The 24,582-nt window shown below is 39.0% G+C and overlaps 1 protein-coding gene and 1 long non-coding RNA gene across 7 annotated transcripts in view; one reads left to right on the top strand and one right to left on the bottom strand.

Moving 5' to 3' along the window:
• Window positions 1,449-24,582, bottom strand: part of LOC124904198 (uncharacterized) — a 31,473-nt gene continuing 8,339 nt past the window's right edge. Inside the window, exon 2 of the long non-coding RNA XR_007066164.1 lies at window positions 1,449-4,440. This is a non-coding gene — a long non-coding RNA (uncharacterized LOC124904198). The remainder of the gene's footprint in view (window positions 4,441-24,582) is intronic.
• Window positions 3,018-24,150, top strand: RPE65 (retinoid isomerohydrolase RPE65). Of its 6 annotated transcripts, NM_000329.3 has the most exons (14): window positions 3,018-3,077; window positions 4,266-4,348; window positions 6,112-6,262; window positions 8,089-8,196; window positions 8,300-8,441; window positions 11,972-12,119; window positions 13,330-13,411; window positions 13,649-13,781; window positions 13,891-14,030; window positions 14,656-14,785; window positions 21,387-21,501; window positions 21,596-21,690; window positions 21,796-21,907; window positions 23,045-24,150. In NM_000329.3, exons 1-14 carry the CDS (start codon window positions 3,067-3,069, stop codon window positions 23,194-23,196), a joined length of 1,602 nt encoding a protein of 533 aa, NP_000320.1. In that variant the 5' UTR covers window positions 3,018-3,066; the 3' UTR covers window positions 23,197-24,150. The 6 variants fall into 6 exon arrangements, with proteins under 6 accessions (NP_000320.1, NP_001393786.1, NP_001393785.1 ...); NM_001406857.1 differs by lacking the exon at window positions 4,266-4,348; NM_001406856.1 differs by lacking the exon at window positions 6,112-6,262.

Genomic DNA, 24,582 nt, shown 5'->3' with positions numbered 1-24,582 from the left:
AATGCTGCAGGAGAAAGTCTTTCTAACATGCTCATTCCTCTGCCTTCTCTCACTCTGCATCTTTCCCTAAGAATGCCACCTCCATCTTTTTTCTATGTCAACACTGAGCTTATCCTTCAGATGCTAACTCATTCAGCCTCCCTATTAGGCTCTCAAATGATTACAGGCCCCGGGGATCTTCTCCTTTAATAAATAAGTTCAAATCACAATCAGAATTCATTTTCTCTGTATCCCTGAAACATCACACACACACACACACACACACACACACACACGGTGTGCATTATCTGAATGAATTGTACCAGAAACCAGAAACCCACCGGTAATCCTTTTTTATGCCTTTTATTTCCCCAACACATTTACCAGTCCCAGAGTTAGATTAGGCCTCCTCTGAAGTATCTCTTGAATTTCACTATTCGTATCCATCCCTCAGTGTACCTGCTTACAACAGCTATCTCCACTTGTTTGATCTGTGCCTCCCTTTAATTTGTCTTGCCCAAATCTCCTATTCCAGTATATTATCCACAATGCATTCTAAGTCGTCCTACTAAAATGCAAATCAGATCATGTCACTCCTCTGGATAAAATATTTCAGTGATTCCCCTTTTCTCATGACAAGGGTCTGGATTTCTGTAAATGGTTTATGATGTTCTTTTTTTTTTTTTTTTTTTTTTGAGATGGAGTCTCGCTCTGTCACCCAGGCTAAAGTGCAGTGGCACGATCTCAGCTCACTGCAAGTTCCGCCTCCTGGGTTCACGCCATTCTCCTGCCTCAGCCTCCCGAGTAGCTAGGGCTACGGGTGCCCACCACCACACCCGGATAATTTTTTGTATTTTTAGTAGAGACGGGGTTTCACCGTGTTAGCCAGGATGGTTTCGATCTCCTGACCTCGTGATCTGCCCACCTCGGCCTCCCAAAGGGCCGGGATTACAGGCGTGAGCCACTGTGCCTGGCCTAGTTTATGATGTTCTACACAATCTGGCCTATGATTATCTCTAGTCCAGTTTCATCTCTAGCTATTTTCCCACCTTATGTTAGCCTCTAGACTTTTATAAATAACACAAGCTGTGCCTGAACACTCTTCTACCTGCCCTTTGACTGGCTAACTTTTATATATTTATCCCATCTCAGCTTAGATACTTCCTTTTTCTCCTGGAGGTTCCTAATGCCAGTATCAATGTTCTTCCTGGGTGGTACCACAGCATCCTACGGTGACGAGGAGGAGGTGGCCTAGATCCTTCCTTTTCTTGGTAAAGGGTGGAAGCAGTGTGGATACTTTACTTGGTGTGTTCTGATATCCATGTGTCACTAGGCACTTGTTCTTTGTGTCTTCACATCTCCTCCTGTTGCATTTTAAAGCACTTTCATAGTATATGGTTTTGCCTAATAAAGCATTCTCATAGCAAAAAAAAAAGTATGGTATTGTGCAAATAAGTGCTCACTCCAAATTAGTGGTATATTTATTGAAGTTTAATATTGTGTTTGTGATACAGAAGTATTTGCTTTAATTCTAAATAAAAATTTTATGCTTTTATTGCTGGTTTAAGAAGATTTGGATTATCCTTGTACTTTGAGGAGAAGTTTCTTATTTGAAATATTTTGGAAACAGGTCTTTTAATGTGGAAAGATAGATATTAATCTCCTCTTCTATTACTCTCCAAGATCCAACAAAAGTGATTATACCCCCCAAAATATGATGGTAGTATCTTATACTACCATCATTTTATAGGCATAGGGCTCTTAGCTGCAAATAATGGAACTAACTCTAATAAAGCAGAACGCAAATATTGTAAATATTAGAGAGCTAACAATCTCTGGGATGGCTAAAGGATGGAGCTTGGAGGCTACCCAGCCAGTAACAATATTCCGGGCTCCACTGTTGAATGGAGACACTACAACTGCCTTGGATGGGCAGAGATATTATGGATGCTAAGCCCCAGGTGCTACCATTAGGACTTCTACCACTGTCCCTAACGGGTGGAGCCCATCACATGCCTATGCCCTCACTGTAAGGAAATGAAGCTACTGTTGTATATCTTGGGAAGCACTTGGATTAATTGTTATACAGTTTTGTTGAAGAAGACCCCTAGGGTAAGTAGCCATAACTGCACACTAAATTTAAAATTGTTAATGAGTTTCTCAAAAAAAATGTTAAGGTTGTTAGCTGGTATAGTATATATCTTGCCTGTTTTCCAAGGACTTCTTTGGGCAGTACCTTGTCTGTGCTGGCAAGCAACTGAGACTTAATGAAAGAGTATTGGAGATATGAATGAATTGATGCTGTATACTCTCAGAGTGCCAAACATATACCAATGGACAAGAAGGTGAGGCAGAGAGCAGACAGGCATTAGTGACAAGCAAAGATATGCAGAATTTCATTCTCAGCAAATCAAAAGTCCTCAACCTGGTTGGAAGAATATTGGCACTGAATGGTATCAATAAGGTTGCTAGAGAGGGTTAGAGGTGCACAATGTGCTTCCATAACATTTTATACTTCTCCAATCTTAGCACTAATCAAACATGGTTGAATACTTTGTTTACTATAACTCTTACAGAGTTATAAGATCTGTGAAGACAGGGACAGGGACAATACCCATCTCTGTCTGGTTCATAGGTGGTATGTAATAGATATTTTTAAAAATAAGTGAGTTAATGAATGAGGGTGAGAATGAAGGCACAGAGGTATTAGGGGGAGGTGGGCCCCAGAGAATGGTGCCAAGGTCCAGTGGGGTGACTGGGATCAGCTCAGGCCTGACGCTGGCCACTCCCACCTAGCTCCTTTCTTTCTAATCTGTTCTCATTCTCCTTGGGAAGGATTGAGGTCTCTGGAAAACAGCCAAACAACTGTTATGGGAACAGCAAGCCCAAATAAAGCCAAGCATCAGGGGGATCTGAGAGCTGAAAGCAACTTCTGTTCCCCCTCCCTCAGCTGAAGGGGTGGGGAAGGGCTCCCAAAGCCATAACTCCTTTTAAGGGATTTAGAAGGCATAAAAAGGCCCCTGGCTGAGAACTTCCTTCTTCATTCTGCAGTTGGTGCCAGAACTCTGGATCCTGAACTGGAAGAAAATGTCTATCCAGTAAGTATCTCTGGGAGACTTTTTTAAAACACCTTCATGGATTCATGATAAATGTGCTATTTCAAGGGCTCCTGAAGAGAAGGCATTGATTAATGACCTGTTTAGGAAAGACCCTTGAATTTTGGTGGGGAAATTTTTTCCTGCTTATGTATTAAAGCAACTAGCTAGAATTCAGGTCCAAATTATGGGGGGTTTGTGTGACTTAGCCCGGGGTTTGGAAGCAGTCTTGAGTATGGGGATTTCAGACAGACTTGGGCTCCACTCCTTGCCCAGTCATTTCCTAGTGTGTGACTTTGGACAAATTACCTAACTTTTTAAGTCTAGCTTTTCCTGTATATAGAAAGATGTCACAATAGCTTTTACTCCATTATGTTACTGTGAGATTTAAAAGAGATAATACCATGCAAAGTTCTTTTTATGGTATGTAGGACATAGTAATTGTTTAGTAAAAGGTAATTATTATAATTGAGTCTGGTCAGAGATTCCACTCTTTGAAGTTACAACATGAAACTGAACAGAGGATGTAGAAAGTAAACAAAAATATAGAACCTGAATCTCCTGGTCTGACTATGATGAAAAAGTACTGTAGGTCTTGGGGATTGGTAGAGAAATGAGATGATGGGGAAAAAATTATGGTATAATATGAGTGAATAATGAAAGATGAGGTACCTGACCCAAAAAGCTGTCATCTCTCAACCCCTAGGAAGGAGATAAATGGGTCTCTCCTTGAGGCAAGAAAATCAATGATGCTGTGAGCTGAGCATGTTGATAGGGTGGGAGAATACTGTGGGAAGGACCCTGTTTAGGAACAAATTTCAGGAAGTGAACTGATGGCAGTAGGATTGATTGATTTGTCTTCCGAAGTAAGGAAAAACTGCAGAGGACAGGATTAAGTTCACTGTAACCATTGACATTAAAAGAGAGGTCATGTCTCTTGACATCAGAGCAGTGATCTGGGACCCCCTTCCATACCTGAGTAGTCTTCCCCACCCCCAGCCTCACGTGCTCCTCCCGCCCTCACCTTCGCTTCTCCCCCCACCCCCACCCCCACCCAGCTGAGACTAGACCGGCAGGAGTGAACAGGCTTTGAGCCAGCCCTAGAGTGCCTTCTCTCCTGCAGCTCTGCCTCTATCTCTGCGGACTTTGAGCATCAACATGGGCTTCTTCCTTATTCTTCCACCATTTCAGGGTTGAGCATCCTGCTGGTGGTTACAAGAAACTGTTTGAAACTGTGGAGGAACTGTCCTCGCCGCTCACAGCTCATGTAACAGGTTGGTCTCGCCCATCTTGAAGCCATCCTCTTTTATGTCAGTCTCTCTTCTCTGGCTTCCTATTCCTTGGCGTCTCTCAGTGCAGACTCCCCCTGTGGGTCACAGGGAGAGGGATCAGGTGGTTTGGGCTTTTTATAGCAAGAACCCATTTTCTTTCATTCGCCTTTACTTTATTTCTCTAATGCAGAAAAACGCTACCTAATTGGAATTCCCTAAGGATCAGGATTACACCTTTGTCATCTTCAAACTGTCAGTGCCTAGCTCAGTGCCTGGCACATAGTAAATGTCCTATAAATGTCTGTTCCATTGGTGTCTGAATAAATGAAGGCCCAGTGACAAGCACCTGGGAGTATTAAAGGGTGGTGGGTTTCATGCCCATTTTATTAGAGGAATGTTGGTTCTGCTGGGAGGCAGATGTAGATGCTAACCTAGCTCTATCATTTCACTGTCTGTGAATCCTCTAAGTTACTTAAACGTTCTGAGCCTCAATTCCCTTACCTACAAAAACCCAAAATTTACGTCATGAGGATGTTGTGAAAATTAAGTGGAGTAATGTAAATAGAATGATTCACCCACTATCCAACACAAAGTGATCAATAGACAGTAATTATTACTATCAGTATCATTATTAGTTATAGGAAATAATCCATTTGCTTGAAAAACTTCACTGGTAGGAATCAAGGAAGCACTGTCAATCACTGCCCTTCTCAAAGGATAAACCTACCTGGGGTTTTTTTTGTTTGTTTTTTTGTTTGTTTGTTTGTTTTGTTTTTTGAGACAGAGTCTCGCTCAGTCGCCCAGGCTGGAGTGCAGTGGGATGATCTCAGCTCACTGCAAGCTCCGCCTCATGGGTTTATGCCATTCTCCTGCCTCAGCCTTTCCAAGTAGCTGGGACTACAGGCGCCCGCCATCACGCCCGGCTAATTTTTCGTATTTTTAGTAGAGACGGGGTTTCGCCGTGGTCTCGATCTCCTGACCTCGTGATCCGCCCGCCTAGGCCTCCCAAAGTGCTGGGATTACAAGCGCGAGCCACCGCGCCCGGCCCTACCTGGGTTTTTAGGGACAAACCTAACTGTGAAAGCTGAGAGGCCTTAAGGACTATCTTGGGTACCCCACATTTTGCAGATGAGAACACTGAGGTCCAGAGATGACATGTGAGCTGATCCTAAACCAGAAGTCATGTCCCTGACATCCAACCCTGTGGACTTTCTGCTACAGCAGATTGACTTTCATCCAAGCAGTAGCTCACACTCACAGAGGGATATAGCTCTAGATTTTAAAGAGCCAGGATTCCTGTTTTTTCATTTAAATAGTCTTTTTTCTATAGACACATCTTTTTAAAATACATTTATTCTCACTCTTAATCCATACTTCTACTCCTCACTCCACTAAAATATATCAAGAAATTTGAAAATCTTCTTAAAAATGAGATGGCAAAAGGCAAATGGATTGGTGTTTGGGGAAATCTATTAGGTGGAGAGTCCCAATCCTCTCAAGATGCTTCTCCCTCACTCCTTCCAACCCTTTATCCACACTCTGGGGCATCTCCACATTTCCCAAGGTGTGATCTCCTAGTGAAGGTGAGTCAAGTCAGCAGACATTTTCTAAGTGCTGTCCAGCGCGAGGGCTGGAAATGAAAATCACTGCCAGCTCTATGAGGAAGAAGCTGCCCAATCAGGCTGCTGATATACTCTGCCTTACCAAGGACAAGCCTAGCCCAAGGCAGGGATAAGAAGCAATGTTCTGTCTCCCCTTCATCACAGGCAGGATCCCCCTCTGGCTCACCGGCAGTCTCCTTCGATGTGGGCCAGGACTCTTTGAAGTTGGATCTGAGCCATTTTACCACCTGTTTGATGGGCAAGCCCTCCTGCACAAGTTTGACTTTAAAGAAGGACATGTCACATACCACAGAAGGTAAAGCAGCACTCCATGCCACTCCTCCTCCTCAAAGTAGGGCCTAGCTTGGCTCCTCCTCCCATGTGAGTTTTCACCTCTGAACTCAGGAGGCAACCTATATACCCACTTTCTTCTCACAATGTACCTGGGCCAGTGTGTCTGCATGGATACGAGGGAACATTATCATGGAATAAAGGAGAAGCTAAAGCCTAGGGCTTTGGGGTCCAACATGAGTGGCTTTAAACCCTGTATTCAACAGACATGACTTGCCTAGGAGGGTAACCTTGGCAAGATGTTGACCTCCAATTCTTGGTTTTATAATTAGTAAAATGGGAGAAATAATAGAATCTACCTTATATATTCATTACAAGCATTAAATGAGAGCGCAGTGTCTAGCACACACAAAGCACTTCATAATAATAGCTATTGTGATGCTTGTTATTATTATTAAACCATTGGCCATCTTGATTCCTTTTTCTTTTTATAAAATTGGAAAGGCCACTGGGAAAGGGGTCGGGGGCTGCCACAAAGTAGTGAAGGATGAAACATGTCATAGTGCTACCAGAAAGAGAAGTTTTCTGAAAACAAGAGATTATTGCTAAAAAGCCTTGAAGCCCTAAATCATCATTCCAGGAAACCCCCATTAATGAAGTATTAACAAATACTTTGTCTTCTGCTTTCGTGTTCAAGCCTATTAGTGGCTTTGTTGATCACCACAGATTTCAGGCATTTTGAAAAGACCTGTAAAGAAAAAGTGAAAGGGGACTTGAAGCAGGACAACTTGCATGATAATAGAAGAGAAACGGATGATGTCAAGCAGAAATGTAGCCATAAGAGCTTACTGTGGAGTTCAGATAAAGCTTCCTATACCTTCGACAGAGCAGGGTACTCTTTCTTCTTCATAAAAGTGCGACCGGGTGTGGGTGGCTCACATCTGTAATCCCAGCACTTTGGGAGGCCAAGGCGGCCAGATCACTTGAGGTCAGGAGTTTGAGACCAGCCTGGCTAGCATGGTGAAACCCCGTCTCTACTAAAAATACAGAAAAATTAGCCGGGCGTGGTGGTACACGCCTGTAGTCCCAGCTACCTGGGAGGCTGAGGCAAGAGTATAGCTTGAACCCAGGAGGCGGAGGTTGCAGTGAGCCAAGATTGCGCCACTGCACTCCAGCCTGGGCAACAGAGCAAGACTCCATCTCAAATTAATTAATTAATTAATTAATTAAAAGTACAAAATCAGATTTTAACTGGCTCTCCATATCAGAAATCCTGGGCAAAGTATGCTGTCTACTCTAAGATATGGTTTAGCAGACCTGTCTAGGCAAGAGATGGAATTCAAGAATACTTAATTTTTAAAACAAAATAAATGTTAAAATTGAAGAAAAACATAAAAGTAACAGAGGGAGATTGAGAAGAATATAATTCAGCACACCATGTCCGGAATTTTCCCAGTAAGTTTAGGTTGATAGGTTATAGGTGATGGGGGTGGGGGTCCTATGTGAACTTCCCCCAGGGCTGCATGGTGTGATATAGAAAGTTCATGTTGTCCTGCTCTGGCCAACTAGGATTCTAACCCAGCTTGGCCACATATGCCAATCACTTAACTCCTCTGAACCTCAATTTCCTCATCTGTGAGGTTTAAAAGATAAAAACGTAAACTCAAGGGACATTGTGTCTGCCCTGCTTGGTCACCCCAAGAAAGTGAGCTAATAAAACCCTTTATTCTTCATGTTGTGCATTTATGATTGTGACTTGATGAGGACACATAGAATGGCCATTCTAAGCTCCACATGGGCTGTACGGATTGCTCCTGTCTATACTCTTCCCTATGTTTCAATGTCCTTCAGGTTCATCCGCACTGATGCTTACGTACGGGCAATGACTGAGAAAAGGATCGTCATAACAGAATTTGGCACCTGTGCTTTCCCAGATCCCTGCAAGAATATATTTTCCAGGTTACTGAACCCAAACTGAATGTTACTCAAGACATTTTATATTAGCCCTTTTTCTCTCATGGCTTGAAAATTACTGGACTGAAAAATTCATTTGTTTCTACAGGTTTTTTTCTTACTTTCGAGGAGTAGAGGTTACTGACAATGCCCTTGTTAATGTCTACCCAGTGGGGGAAGATTACTACGCTTGCACAGAGACCAACTTTATTACAAAGATTAATCCAGAGACCTTGGAGACAATTAAGCAGGTGGGACACAGTGCTAGGTGATGTTCAGGAATTTAGAATTTGGAACTTAAAATTAATTCAACATAAATTATTCATGCTGCGAATGTATGATTCTAACTTGATGAGGACACACAGAATGACCATTCCAAGCTCCAAATGGACTGCACTGATTGCCTCTGTCTATGATGCTTTCCTGCAATTGGTGTAATTTGGTGAAAAGAACATGAGAGCCACATTAAGTTTCAAATCCTAGCATTGTCAACAATGACTAGCTATTTGACATAGGACAAACATTGTTTCTTCATCTCTAAAATTTTAAACACTTACATGGATTGGAGAGAACCCATATAAAATGCCTAACATATTCATTCATTCATTCATGACACAAATACTTATCAAGTGCTTTCCATATTCAGAATTTATGCTAGATGCAAGGGATAGATCAATGAGTAGGGTAACATGGTCCCTGCCTTTCATAGCTTTTATAAGCTAGCATGAACCTGGTAAATACTGGGTGCTCAAAAAATTATAGCTACTGATACTGAAAATCATGCTATTTATGGTTCTAGGCAAGTATGTTGCACTAATTTGCCCCTTCTTATAGATACTTCTTATTAGAAATAAAGCTATATCTTGAATGAAATAGCATAGAACAAAATTTCAGCAATATTTGGAAGTGACAAATTTTATGGAGAACTTAGGGAATCTCAATGCAGCAGTCCTTAGATACACATTTTGAACCAATATTTACTAAGATACACCTATTTACAAGGCATTGTTCTTGTCTTCAGGTGACTTAATGTCTAGGTGGAGAAATCAAATATGTAACTGTAATAGGACAAAGAATATGACGAGTCTTTTAAGAAGGAAAATCTTTTAAGAAAGCATAAATACGAAAGGAATTACTTCTGGAAGTAGTTGGCAATGCAAGGTGGGACAGGTGAAAGAAGGCTTAAAGGGAAAGGCTTTGGGCTGGAAGTTAAAAGAGAGGGATGATTTCAGTGAATTTAGAGAAAGGATATGCTAGATGGAGGGGGTAAAGCGATCAAAAGCATGGAGGTAGAAGGTGTTCATGAAAACTGGAGAATAATCTCCTTGGACTAGACTTGCAGCATTTCTCAGTGGAGGTATTAGTATGACATTAGGCAGGGGGTGACTCATCATCATGGAGACGTCCCACACATGGGAGAGGTTTGGCATCCCTGGCCTCATCCACTAAACACCAGTCATGTTTTCAATCATTATACAAACCCAAAACGCTCCTGACATTTCCGTATCTTCCCCTAGGGGGCAATAACACTCCCAGTTGAGAACTAGTTGCCTAGAGTAGTTAATGTCAAGGGGAATATTGAGACACAGGGTAGGATGAAATTAAAAGCTTGAATAATTGGCTATACATTTGGAATATGTTGTTTAGCTAATGGGAAGCTACTGAAAGTTTTTGCTCAAAGAAGTAGTATGAGTAGGGCTATATTTTCAGATGTTTATTTGGGGAGCCATGTGTGGGCTGTACGGGAAGGCAAAAGAGATACAGTATAGCTGGGAGACCAAGAGGTGAAACTAAAAGCCAGAACCACAAATGCAGTACTGGTAAAAATAAGAAGAAAAAAAATAGTCTCAACATTGAGTCTCAATAGCACAAGCTGATCTATAATTCTCAACAGACTATTTACTATGTCTTAACATACACTCCCCATAGCTCTTTCTTGTTTATGTTGTGTGTGTGTAACCATATACAAGTGTGTGTGTAGCTCCTTTAGAGAAGAACAAAAGCTGAGTTTCTAAATCATTCATTTGACTTTGATAGGGAATCTGTATTACAATTACATGATATTTTAATTAGAAATATAGAAGCTATGGTATGGCTGCAGAATAGACTTTATTAGGAGTCAGGTTCCACTGTTACTAGCACTGTAAAATGTAATTTTAAAAATGTGAAATTTTTGATTGTTTACTGTTATTAACCAGTGCCTTTGCCTCCAGCCTGATTCCCTTAAATACAATTTATTTAAGGCAGCAGTAGCAATTTTTTAAAATATAAATATGAAAGTATTACTCCACCTAGGGAATCCATAACTTCCCAAATAAAGTCCAAGCGAAGGTCTTTGTGGCTGGCCCACTCTTATTTCGCCTCCTCTACGCATGCCCTTCATGGCAGCCAGGTTAAATGACTAGTAATGGCCAAACAGCACACATTATTTCACAAGTCTATGCATTTACATTAGGATTCCCACTCCCTGGAATACACTGTCATCCTGCTCCACTTGGCTAACTCCACGCACCTTTCAAACATTAGTTGGAGTCATGTTTCTCAGGAAAACTGCCTCATCCCTCAGTCTGGGCTAGATGGCGCTTCTCTACGATGCCATTGCACACTCACAGTGCTTTACACCGGCTTATTGGTCTAATGCAGGGCTGTCCAATAGAACTTTCTGCAATAATGGAAATGCTCTATAACTGTGCTATCCTGGTGTTATTAAGCACTTGAAATGTGGCTAATGTGACTGAGGAGCTGAATTTGAAGTTCTATCTAAAAATTAGTGGTCCTGTATTAATAGAACAGCACGGGTCTAGAATGAAGTTCTTGAAAGCAAAGATCTTCTCTCTCCTGAGCCCTGATACAGTGCCTGGCACATAGTGAAAGCTCAGAGTATTTGATAAATGATTGACTGAATAAATGAATATCTTGCCTATTATTTAAATAAGGTTGCTAAAATGTCCTATGCTTTAAAAAAATCTCCCTAATTAATTGGAAATAATTTTGGTTAGATAAATATATATTCCAGTAATTATTCATTCAATAACTCTTTACCAAGTAGGTCCCAGGTGGAAATCTAGTGCTGATTTATCTAGCTCTTTATCCTTAAACAAGACACTTGATCTCTCTGGAACCCCAATTTATCCTTCTGCAAACAGAGATTTGTGTTACATTTGTAGTTCTAAACTTCTTATGAGACATAAAATTGAATTAAATGCTGTATGCTTTTGCCAGAAATGTTTATATTTAATTAAAAGAGATCCATGGTTCTCCTAAAGTCTATTTAAATTAAGACTTTCTATACTAGATGAAGCTTGAAGTCCCTTTCAGTTCCAAACTCATACAGTACCATGTGCAAGACATATAGTTGGTATTTACATAGTACCATACGAAATTGACATTTTTGGAAATCAGCAATTATTAAATGTTAGCAATCTTATACAATTAAATCTAATACAATAATAAGAGTATAAAGAAGTCTGAGGACTCAAACTTATGGTTTCAGGTCAATCTGCATATGCTAAAAGAAAAGTAACTAACCAGAGCACTGTATGGTATACATCAAATAAAGAGATGTCACAGGTAACTCCAGATTCAGACACATGAGGGGGCATTATGTTCTGCATGAAGGTGGGAACTCAAGGTGAAAGAGGGTAGAATCCAGAGAGATGGGAAGAAAGAGAAGTGCACTTAGGATGAGAGTTCAAGGGGTAGTGATGACCTCAGACCTAGGGACAAAGGTATAATGTATCTTCCTTCTCTCAACTGGAGGACATTCACTTTACTTCCGTAGGTTGATCTTTGCAACTATGTCTCTGTCAATGGGGCCACTGCTCACCCCCACATTGAAAATGATGGAACCGTTTACAATATTGGTAATTGCTTTGGAAAAAATTTTTCAATTGCCTACAACATTGTAAAGATCCCACCACTGCAAGCAGGTGAGTTTACCAATCTGTCCTCTTCTGAAAATAAGTGTCTATATTGTGAGAAAGTTACTGTATTGTGAGAAAGATAAGAATGTCAGAATAGCATTTTGTGCATAGTTAAATTACTCTCAGACTTCAGAAGTACTGCCCTCATCCCTACCCTATAAGGGGCCTAATGCCCAAGGGCATCATATCAAAGGATGACGACTTGAAAATATAGAAAGCAAGTGTCCAAGTTCTCTTCTAGAATATTAAAAATGTAGTACATATATATATATGGATTTGATCATATACAATTAGGATTCAAACTTAGCAAACATTTATTGAGCACTTATTCATGTGCTAGGCAAAATTAAATTAAATAAGCATGTATGTGTGCATAATAGCATACATACATATATGAGAGTGTACTAAATATGTTGCGCTTAATTCCCAAAACTACAAACAAATCTGTTATCTCATAGAAGTACTATAGAAAAAGAACTACAGCAAAAAGAGTGTACCCTAGAATTCTCCATTCATTCTTCATTTATTGCCAGGTTCATTGTTCACCACCTTGATGATGGAATTATTTGAATGTATACAGATTTTTGTTTAGTATTATTTAGTACAGTTCTCAAAGTGTAGTCCTTGGACCAAGACCATCACCTAGGAAACTGTTAGAAATACAAATCTTGAGCCTTGTCCTGGGCAGACTGAATGAGAAATTTTGGGAGTGGAGCCTGCAATCAGTATTTTAAGAAACTCTTTATGTGATTCTGATGCACACTAAAGTTTGAGGACCATTCACTTACTAGTGAGTAAATTTTAATGTGCATAAGAATTACTGTACAGGGCTATTGACACAAACCCATCTAAACTATATCCTTTGGGCATCTTAAGATGTTGCAAAAGGCATTTTGACCATTCTGAGGTTTCTTCCCTACTCCCCTGACTTAAAACCCACCTCCAGCTATTGCAAGATGTGACTCCACTACACTCCACTTGCCACAACCCTATTTGAGTGCACGTTTCCAAATCTGCTGCTATTTGGATTTTCCTGGGTGATTTTGCAGCTTCACATGAAATTTCACTAAGAAGTGCAAATGATGGAGAAAATGAAAATAACCCCTCTAAAACAATCAAAATGTGTTTCTTTGCCTGTATAAGCTGTTCTAAATGCTTTGTATTAAAAAAAAAATAAGAGGCTCTTCCAAAGCCTTTTAAAACCACTTTATTTCAGACAAGGAAGATCCAATAAGCAAGTCAGAGATCGTTGTACAATTCCCCTGCAGTGACCGATTCAAGCCATCTTACGTTCATAGGTAACTTGAAGGCCTGCTATGAATCTTCAGGAAAACTCAAGTTTAAAGATTTGCTTTGCCTACCTTTGATACCAATCCTGATCACAATATTTTTTTGCAGAAAACTAAATTTAAACATAATTAATTTCATGTAGGCACTGTTGATTCTTGTAACTGAGCATACCACATATATACAAATTTGTCTGTGGCTTGAGAATCAGCCCTTTCATTCACAAGCCCATTTGTGTTTCTGAACAGTTTTGGTCTGACTCCCAACTATATCGTTTTTGTGGAGACACCAGTCAAAATTAACCTGTTCAAGTTCCTTTCTTCATGGAGTCTTTGGGGAGCCAACTACATGGATTGTTTTGAGTCCAATGAAACCATGGGGGTAAGTCTTAGATATATTTGTCAAGTTTGTGATTCTGAAGAAGATGTGTTTAATAATGTACACTTTTTTCCTTTTTAAATGCATCAAAATATTTTCCTCATTTTTCAAGGTTTGGCTTCATATTGCTGACAAAAAAAGGAAAAAGTACCTCAATAATAAATACAGAACTTCTCCTTTCAACCTCTTCCATCACATCAACACCTATGAAGACAATGGGTTTCTGATTGTGGATCTCTGCTGCTGGAAAGGGTAAGAAAGGACACTGGACAAATGGGACACCTCCCATTGTTCCTGGAAATTACGGGGTTTTTACAGAGCTGCTGCACTCAATCTGAATCACATCTAAAACAGCAAGAGTTATGTGAGAGTCAAAAATGTAATTGGAAAAGCAGTAGGAAGTTTAGGTAATCTGAACATCAAAACTATGATTAATGATTGAAAACTAATCGGGTCCATGAACCCCACCTGAAAACAAAAGATTCTGTGACCTGAGAGGTGAACTTAAAGTTGACAAAATCCCTGGGGAAACTTGAGCCCCATCTTCTCTGCGAAGGGAGAAAAAGACATGCGTTTTTCAGACTAGCCAAATCACTAAGAAGACAACAGCACCTAAGGACACAAACAGAATGGTGACAGGAAGACAGAACAGAAAGTATCTCAAGGCTGCTGTTACTTAAACAAATCCATTAAGCAGGTTGCTTTATTTTCATCCTGTGTGGGCGGGAGGAAATGGCTCTGATACACCTGGCTCAATAGCAGTTTCTGGGTTGTGGAATAAAGAACAGGCAGGCACTTGTGCTTAAAAAGGCAAGAATCATCTCTCTAAAATTATTTGTCATTGCCTGTGCTCATGTTTGACTTTTTATTTTTGCAGATTTGAGTTTGTTTATAATTACTTATATTTAGCCAATTTACGTGAGAACTGGGAAGAGGTGAAAAAAAATGCCAGAAAGGCTCCCCAACCTGAAGTTAGGAGATATGTACTTCCTTTGAATATTGACAAGGTAACCTGCTTCTCTGTAGATTTCAGATTTAACCAGAATGTTTCATCTCTCTCAGGAATTGTCCTCCTGCCTCATGTTTATACATAAAGTCTTGAAATTTGAGAGCTAGAAGGAGCTTTAAAAATAGGCTAATTAAACTTCCTTCATTTTACAAATGAAACTAAAGCTCAGAAGAGTACTGTGACTTAGCAAAAGCAACTGCAGCAGAGCCAGGATAAGAACCAGGTTTTTAAATTCTAAATCTGCCGTTCTTGTATTTACAAAATTGTCTTTAAAATATACTTCCTCGGTGAATAGTGCAGATCCACTGATTCCTATGATACTTTATCAATAATATAAATAGTTTAAATAATTTGAAGTTCTGGAGAGATGAAGCATCAAAAAGTACTCTTGTAGGGAAACCAGTTCATTATTTTGGTTTTCTATAAATCTTCTGAAAAATATCACTAGAGGTTAAAAATCATTACTAACAATAGACAGTCATCTCTTTATTTCTACTTTTTCTTCCCTGTATTTAGAGACTGTCTTTTTAGAATAACCAGAGTAACATCTAGAATTTGTAGTGTGATGGAAATACCAGTCAAAATCAATAAAATATAATTCTCACATATAGGTATGTGAATATATGCTTTCTTTTATATCTATTTGCTCCCTGGTTGCACAAAAGGGGTTATTAAAACAGCTACATGGAATGTAAAACTTTGTACCAAAGGCTTAGATATGGTGTAGTAGAAAATAAACTCAATTTAGAACCAAACACCACTGCTCTTAAGCAAGTTTGTAAGCTCTATGAAGAATGAGAAAGAGGGAGAAGGTTGAGGTTGAGTGTTACAGACAGGCAAAGGGGCGTCTATAAAGGCAAGGAGGAGTTAAAAATGCAAGATTTCATCTATAAATATGAAGTAGTTGCTGAGTTTGGTTTATTTAGGGGTGTAGGGGAGATGGGTTTTGGGCAGAGAGACTGGAAAGATAGGTTGGAGCAATATTGTAATGGGCTATATAAGCCTTTGAGTGTTATATAAATATAGGGAGCCATTTAAGTATTTTAAATGTGTATTTTAAGTGTATTTTAGGACATGATTAGATCTGTGATTCAGAAAGTTACTCTGGCAGCATCATGGAAGACAGACTGGAAAGTGGAGAGTCTAGAGCAGAGGCTAGAAGCCCTATTACAGGATTAATGCAATGAGGCAAATAAAAGGGAATAAGTAGTTGAGTTAAGAAAATGGTGACTGAGAGATGAAGATGCAAAGCTGAGAAATATTTAGGCAGCAAAATCAACAGCAGTTGGTATCTAATTACATGTGAGGGGTAAGGGAGAGGAAGGAGTTCAGGATGACTTCAAGATTTCCATCCTGAGCAGTTGAGTGAATGATGGTATAATTCACTGAACTGAAAACATAGAAGTAAGAGGAGCTGGGCCAGGCGCAGTGGCTCACACCTGTAATCCCAGCAGTTTGGGAGGCCGAGGCGGGTGCATCACCCGAGGTTGGGAGTTCAAGACCAGCCTTACCAACATGGAGAAACCTCATCTTTACTAAAAACACAAAATTAGCTGGGCATGGTGGTGCATGCCTGTAATCCCAGCTACTCAGGAGGCTGAAGCAAGAGAATCGCTTGAACCCAGGAGGCAGAGGTTGCAGTGAGCCGAGATCATGCCATTGCACTCCAGCCTGGGCAACAAGAGTGAAATTCCATCATAAATAAATAAATAAATAAATAAATAAATAAATAAATAAATAGAAGTAACAGGAGCTAGCTTGTAGAAAAAAGAATAAATTTTACTTTATAGATGTAATTTGAAAGTACCCACTAGCAATCTTAGCAAAGCATTCCATAGGCAGCTGCTGTACATGGATCTGGAGCTCCAAAGAAAGATCATGGAGAGAGATCAATCTGGGTACCTTAAGGATTTTTGCTTTCCCCTTAAGAAGCATATCACTGACATGTAGTTGAGCATTCCCAAAATACTCACCAAATGGATGAGTCAGTTAATTTCAGTAAACTCTTACTTCGCTAATAATGGTAAAAATCACAATCATCTTTAAGGAAATAAAAGAGGATCACTTAACTTAAATATTCACATTGCAAAATAAAGAAAAAAGAAGGATTTTTCTAACTGTATGGTTATCACGGCCTGAAGAAATATTACCCAATTATAGAATAGGGAACTGTAATAATCATAAAAAATGTCTAACATCATCAAATCCGTCTCCTCTTTCTTCTAATAGTTATTGAGTAGCCACTAAAACAGGCATCATACTATTTGTTGCAGTGGGTACATAAAATACACTTCTAGTTCTCATGGAGCCCGTTACCTAGTGTATCAGAGAGAAAGAAGCCGAATCAGGAATAGCCATGCATGTCAGCACAGGAGTAGTACTCTCAGGAGGGATAAATTGATTTGTTAATAGCTAGTCAGATGATAATGTAGGGGAGATTAATGGAACATAGTTATTTGCAATGGGCAGTAATATGGCAGGTGGAGATGGGATTGAGGCAGAACAACTGAAGACAGAAAGAACAGTTTGAGGAAAGACAGATAGGTGGAGAGGGAGATACGCAGAGAGAATTGGCTATTATAATTGGTTGAAACATAGGCAAAAGTAGTAAAGTAAATGGGATAAAAAGTTATAAAAGTACGTTGTACTCTTAGAAGGCTTTAAGGCCAGGCTAAGAAATTTGCACTTTATTGAACTGGTAATGGAAAGACAGTGAAGGTTTTTACACAAAAGAAAAGCCCATAATTAATGGTATTGAAATGATAATGAAATATGTAAGAATAGAGAGATAAGACTGCAGGCAGGGGGGGAAATCATATTTTAGATTAGGTTTTCCAAAAGAAACATTTAAAATTTGCTTATTTAAAAAATAAAGAATTTGAGAGCCAGAGAATACAGAGAGAGAAGACAGCCAAGCACAGTAGCTCCAGAAAATAAACATGTGTAGAAAATGGTAGAAACAAGAGAAGCCAGAAAAAGAAACAAGAGAAGCCAGAAAAAGAAACAAGAGCCACCAGAAAGCCCTAGTTCCTACTAAGAGAGAGTAACGTCACAAAGATGAGTGCAGGTGAGGGTTATACGGTGCCCATTGCCATAGACAAGTTGAAAAGGGTGAAGACTAAGAATAAAGCACTAGGTTTGGTGATCTCTAAGGGAATAGAGTGAGAGAGACAGAAGTCAGGCTTCAGGGCTCTTAAGGTAAGCAGTTGAGTATCTGGAAAGCAGTTACTGCGTGCACACTCTTAAAAGTTTGGCAATGAAGAGAAAAATAGAAAGGGCTTAGGTCCCAGTTACTTGGAAGACTGAGGCAGGAGGATTGCTTGAGTCCAGGAGTTCAAAGTTACAGTGAGCTACATGCCATTGCAGTCCAGCCTGAGGAAAAGAACAAGACCCCATCTCAACAAACAAACAAACAAAACAGAACAAGACTCCATCTCAAGAAACAAACAAACAAACAAACAAACAGGAAATCTAATTTAACAATGAAAATAAGCAAAATAGAACAAAGTAAAAAATTCAACTTGAAACCACATAAATAATATATTAAACATAGACATAGACATTTGTACTTATTGTATGCATGTACATAAATATGCATACATGTGCACACCCCTCGCTTCTTCCCAGCATCACCACTAAGTACCTCGAGTCCCTTATTTCACAAAATCTTGCAGAATCTTCTCCTCTATTGGCTCCCACCTCCCATCCTTTCCCTATTCTGAAAATCTTCCACTATTTACTTTTAATTCTTAGTCCACCACCAGAAAAAATCTCCTGTCTTCTCTTCTTAGAATGTTGCCTTCAACCTCCTTTTTTAACCAAAATCTGGCTCTCTCCCCTAAGGACACTGGTCTCCCCAACAGTAATTTCCAGGGGAATCAGTTTCTCCTCTGTACAGGGTACAGCCCTTTTACCACTTGGCCTGGAGTTGGGGTAGAGGTCCTTCTTCTTTGCTGCTTTCAGATCATTGTTCCCTCTATTCACCCTTAAAATTCCCTAAGTTTTCATCTCATTTTATCTAATCATATAGCCAAGTGATGTATATGTGTGTGTGTGTGTGTGTGTGTGTATATATATATATATATATATATATCCCTCATGCCCTCGACTTTGCCACTACTTAAGACTATACTCCTTCCATAATCTGTTTCATGCATGACCCACTCTGACCTTTTATCTTTCAACATCACTTGCCCTACTGCAATTTCCACCAGGAACTTCCAATCCATTGAACACAGTACTTTCTCACTCTCTCTCACTACGTTGAGGATTTACCTTCTCTCCTCACTCAATTTAAGCTTTACAGTCAATAATTACAAACACTTTCTCATGTAGACCTTCCTTTCCCTTGCCTCTTTCTTACCTTATCAAAGTCATTTGTCAAAATCACAACCCTAGTTAAATTCAGCTCTCCACCCCCTCCATGCTTATACCTCTGAGGCTGAACTAAGTGCAGACAACACACAATCATGTTAATTGGTTCCATTTTAGATGCATGACCACAAATCTTTCTGCTACATTTCCCGGCTTCACTTACTCTCTCACTTTGCTAGTTAAATATTCCACACCCTCCTCTCTTTAAACTTTTACCACCTCCCACTTCCCGCCTCCACACTCAGATGCAGCTGATGGCTATGTTTTCTTTTTCTCTGAAACAAATGAAAGAAATCAGAAAGGAACCATAGACTTGCCAGCACATCTACCCACCCACCAGCATCTGTACTCATATACTGAATTATCCATCTTCCTATCCAGAGCTGATCTCTTTCATCCTCCTTCACATTCTCAGGGAAATCACTCTCCCAATTCTCCCCATCTTTCCTAGATCACCACTCTCCTACCCTTTTCGATGGATCATTTTTGTCAGGCTCTTACAAAATCCTTCTCTTGACATTTTTGCCCCAACCAGCTACCTTCTCATTCCTCGTCTTGTTGGAGGGCCTTGGTTCCCCTATCTTCCATTTATACACTCACTCGTTGTTAAATATTCATGCCTTATTCATTTACATTTTTAGCTTTCTCTTAAACTCAAGGTTCTTACCTGCTAGCGCCAGCTCCACATCTGCATTTGGATGCCCAATAGACATCTCAAGTCTAATAAGACAAGACTTGAACTTCTCATCTTCCCCCACCAAAAATTTACTCCACCTGTAGTTCCTATCTTTGTTGTGACATCAACATTGTACAGGTCAAACACCTTGGTGTTATGCTTGATGCCTCTCTTACTTTCATGCCTCTTCCTCGTCCCATATCCTATTTAACAGGAAATCTTCTTGACTCTGTCCTCCACTTCTTCCACTTCTCACTGACTGCAATGCTACTGGCCTAGTGTGAACCATTGTTTTCTTTCAACTAGACTACTACAAGACAAACTGGTTTCCCTGATTCCACTCTTGGATCCTCCCTACTAACAAGGCTACCCTAAAAATAAATCATAGCATCTCACTCCTGTGCTGAAAACCCTCCAATGGCTTCCCATCACTCACTCACAGAGAAAGATCAAGTCCTCATAATGACCTACGAGGCTTTGTACAGCCTGGCTCGTGACCTCCCCACCTTCCTTTCTTATTCTCTCCCCTAGCTCAGTTGATAGAATCCACACTGGACTCTTTGATGCTCCTCAAACACACTCAGCATCCTCCTCCCTCAGGCCTTTGCACAATTTGTTCTCTTAGCGTGAACACTCTTCCCCAGATATCTGCATTGCTAATTCTCTCATCTTCTAAGAGTTTTGTCTCCTCTGCCACCTGTTCAAAGAGACCTACCCGAACCATCTATTCAAATTTTAACCGCTTACCCTTCACGTTTCTGATCTTTTTTCCTCTATTCTATTTTTCCCCCACATTTGTGGTATATTATAAAATTTATTAATTATATTTATTGTATATCTCCTTGAACTAGAATGTAGGCTTCATGAGGACAGGGACTTCACTCTCCAAAACATCCTGAATGCCAAGAATAGAGTCTAGAATAAAATATGTAATCAAGTATTTGATGAAATTATTAATAAGTAGATATGTTAGAAAAATCTCATGGTATTTCATAAAATAATCAGAAAAATCATGTGTGTGTGACAAGAGATCTTAGGAAACATATGGTCCAGCGTTTTTTTTTTTTCTTTTTGTCAACATAACTGTAAGGATTTTTTTTTTCAAGCAAAATCAAAACATATTCTACGTGTGAACGAAATATACATTCTTTCATCCCTCAGGCAGTCGAAGTCTTTGTTGTTCTGCAGAAAAACATTAATTATTATTATTATTGGTTTTGAGATTTTTGTTTGGTTTTTGTTTTTTTGTTTTTCAGAGGCCTTTCTTTGGAGCCCTAAATTTTCTTCAAGGATGGTCTCATTTTACTGAAGAGAAAATTGATGGCCTAAGAGGTTATGTGACTTTCCCAGTGATACATAGCCAGTGACTGACACAGGCACAGATAGCTTGCCCAGTCGCGTCCCAGGGTCCCTCATCTATAGCTTCCTGCAGTTCCTCCCTGCATGTTGACCTAAAAAAGAACTTAGGAGCCAAGACTTAAGAACTCTGCATTTCTGGCTGTTTGAATTCTTTCCTGCTCACTGAGGTTTCTGTTATCTTCTCTCCTAGGCTGACACAGGCAAGAATTTAGTCACGCTCCCCAATACAACTGCCACTGCAATTCTGTGCAGTGACGAGACTATCTGGCTGGAGCCTGAAGTTCTCTTTTCAGGGCCTCGTCAAGGTGAGATGATCTAGAGAAAACTTCACACGGGAGTGAACAAATGTTTCTTTCAAAGAGATTAAGAGTTTTCCTAAGCATGTGCTCTATTTCGTAGCATTTGAGTTTCCTCAAATCAATTACCAGAAGTATTGTGGGAAACCTTACACATATGCGTATGGACTTGGCTTGAATCACTTTGTTCCAGATAGGGTAATTAATCCTTCTTACTAATATTTGAACAGTGCTTTGAGTATATGCTAGTCAAGTAAAGCATATTGACTGATTGCTTGATTGATTTTTCTTTCTCACAAACAGCTCTGTAAGCTGAATGTCAAAACTAAAGAAACTTGGGTTTGGCAAGAGCCTGATTCATACCCATCAGAACCCATCTTTGTTTCTCACCCAGATGCCTTGGAAGAAGATGATGGTAATGAAAGCAATTGTTGTGTCTGAATACTCTTCTTACTGCAGTTCTGTATGTTAGTTCGTTAGGAAAGGAGTAAGGTTGATTATTCCGTAATACTCAAAAACGATCCTTAATACTATAAATAGAGCAGTACTGAAGAATTAAAACTATTTGAAAAGAATTTTCATCTTTTGATCAGGTCTTGTTGATTACCAGTAGAAAAAAATGTCAAAGCACCATTTGGTGTCACGATGGAGCATCAATGTCTGCTCTAGATGAGGGAGAGAAGGAAGAAAAAATGGCAACATGAATTCCAGGTTTTTGCCTTCCCTGACGAAGACATATTTCTAAAAAAATAGCAATTCTAAGAAGGGAAGCTAAGTATTATAGCAGATACAAGAGAATGAGAAGGCAGGTCTGTGAATAGTTTTCATTTGTTCTTTCGGTAAGCTAGGGCTTGAAAAAAGACCCAGAGCCACACCAGCAACTCAGATACAGCAACTCAAATTACAAATCAGCAGTGTTAGTTAACTGCTTCTCAGCTGGGACAGGGAGATAGATTACACTCTATGGGATTAAAATATGGAAAACTAAGAGAAATGAGATAAAGAATTGTGGAGCCATTTCACACTAAATGATTTTATATATCCAGTCGAAGCTGTAAAAGATTTGTTCTCATTTTGTTCGAAGGAAGTCAGCTTCCAGATCGATCTTAGAAACCATACATATGATATATCTTACTGCTTTCAAAGTCTTTTAATACACACTTTTCATGTGATCATCACAGTTTTTACAGTATGTACAGCAGGTGCTATATTTGTATGTTACAGATAAGAACAGATCCATTTATTCAGTGAGTATTTAATGAGTACCTACTACGCTGTAGTCATTGTCATAGAATATTGAGATATAGCAGTGAGCAAGACAGACAAGACTCTCCCTTCTTAGAGCTTACAGTGTAGGTAGGGTACATAAAGAGTTTAAAAGACCTCTTTAGGTGGTCTCATGCCAGGTGGTACAAGAGTCAGAAAAAGAAGTCAGGTCATATGGTTTTCTATATTTGTCAATGTAATACCTCCTATATTATTTCAATGACATTCAATCTATAGCTTGGGCTTTTAAAAACTCAATATTGCCTAATTTACTTCTGATAAACAGGTGTAGTTCTGAGTGTGGTGGTGAGCCCAGGAGCAGGACAAAAGCCTGCTTATCTCCTGATTCTGAATGCCAAGGACTTAAGTGAAGTTGCCCGGGCTGAAGTGGAGATTAACATCCCTGTCACCTTTCATGGACTGTTCAAAAAATCTTGAGCATACTCCAGCAAGATATGTTTTTGGTAGCAAAACTGAGAAAATCAGCTTCAGGTCTGCAATCAAATTCTGTTCAATTTTAGCCTGCTATATGTCATGGTTTTAACTTGCAGATGCGCACAATTTTGCAATGTTTTACAGAAAGCACTGAGTTGAGCAAGCAATTCCTTTATTTAAAAAAAAAAGTACGTATTTAGATAATCATACTTCCTCTGTGAGACAGGCCATAACTGAAAAACTCTTAAATATTTAGCAATCAAATAGGAAATGAATGTGGACTTACTAAATGGCTTTTAATTCCTATTATAAGAGCATATTTTAGGTACCTATCTGCTCCAATTATATTTTTAACATTTAAAAACCAAAGTCCTCTACACTTGATTTATATTATATGTGGCTTTGCTGAGTCAAGGAAGTATCATGCAATAAGGCTTAATTACTAAATGTCAAACCAAACTTTTTCTCAAACCAGGGACTATCATCTAAGATTAATTACAGTAATTATTTTGCGTATACGTAACTGCTCAAAGATTATGAATCTTATGAATGTTAACCTTTCCGTTTATTACAAGCAAGTACTATTATTTCTGATTTTATAATAAGAAAATCTGTGTTTAATCAACTGAGGCCTCTCAACCAAATAACATCTCAGAGATTAAGTTATATATTAAAAGCTTATGTAACATAAAAGCAAGTACATATAGTAGTGACTATATTTAAAAAAACAGCATAAAATGCTTAAAAATGTAATATTTACTAAAATCAGATTATGGGATAATGTTGCAGGATTATACTTTATTGCATCTTTTTTGTTTAATTGTATTTAAGCATTGTGCAATCACTTGGGAAAAATATTAAATTATTAACATTGAGGTATTAATACATTTTAAGCCTTTTGTTTTTAAATTTCTTTTCTTCCAGAGATTGTTTAAAAATAAATATTGACAAAAATAATGTTTTATATCTTAATTCTAGTATCTGTTTTATGCTTGAAAGCATTACAGATCATGATACCTAAGATGATCAGCATGGTGTTTGACTAGGTAAAAATAGGTTGAAGGAACAGACTGACCAGGGTACCTGATGTATCCATTTGATCTTTATTTAGATAAGATGGAAACTCATTTTTTAAATTACAAATACTCAGTAAAGCATACTTTTCAAAGAATAACTAAAAATACAAAAAAGTAGAAATTGTAAAGTAAAATCATACAGAGCTCATCTAAGTTCAACTGCTCTTAAGATTTGGGTACTGGTCTTTTTCTTCTTTTCTATTCCTGTAGATTTTTTTTATGTAATCATTATTTTTCCATCAGTAATTACTAGATAGAACTAAAAATCTCAAAACAGAAAGAGAATGCCAGGGAACTGCATGGAATATGTCAC

The sequence above is a fragment of the Homo sapiens genome, chromosome 1, assembly GCF_000001405.40.
Source record: "Homo sapiens chromosome 1, GRCh38.p14 Primary Assembly".
NCBI lineage: Eukaryota > Metazoa > Chordata > Mammalia > Primates > Hominidae > Homo > Homo sapiens.
This window is presented reverse-complemented; position numbering and strand designations above follow the sequence as displayed.

Excerpts from the sequence above, each read along its gene's own strand:
- RPE65 (NM_000329.3), top strand. Across the intron at positions 8,197-8,299 it reads TGCAAGAATATATTTTCCAG|GTTTTTTTCTTACTTTCGAG; the intron begins GTTACTGAACCC and ends TTGTTTCTACAG. Across the intron at positions 13,412-13,648 it reads AAGCCATCTTACGTTCATAG|TTTTGGTCTGACTCCCAACT; the intron begins GTAACTTGAAGG and ends GTTTCTGAACAG.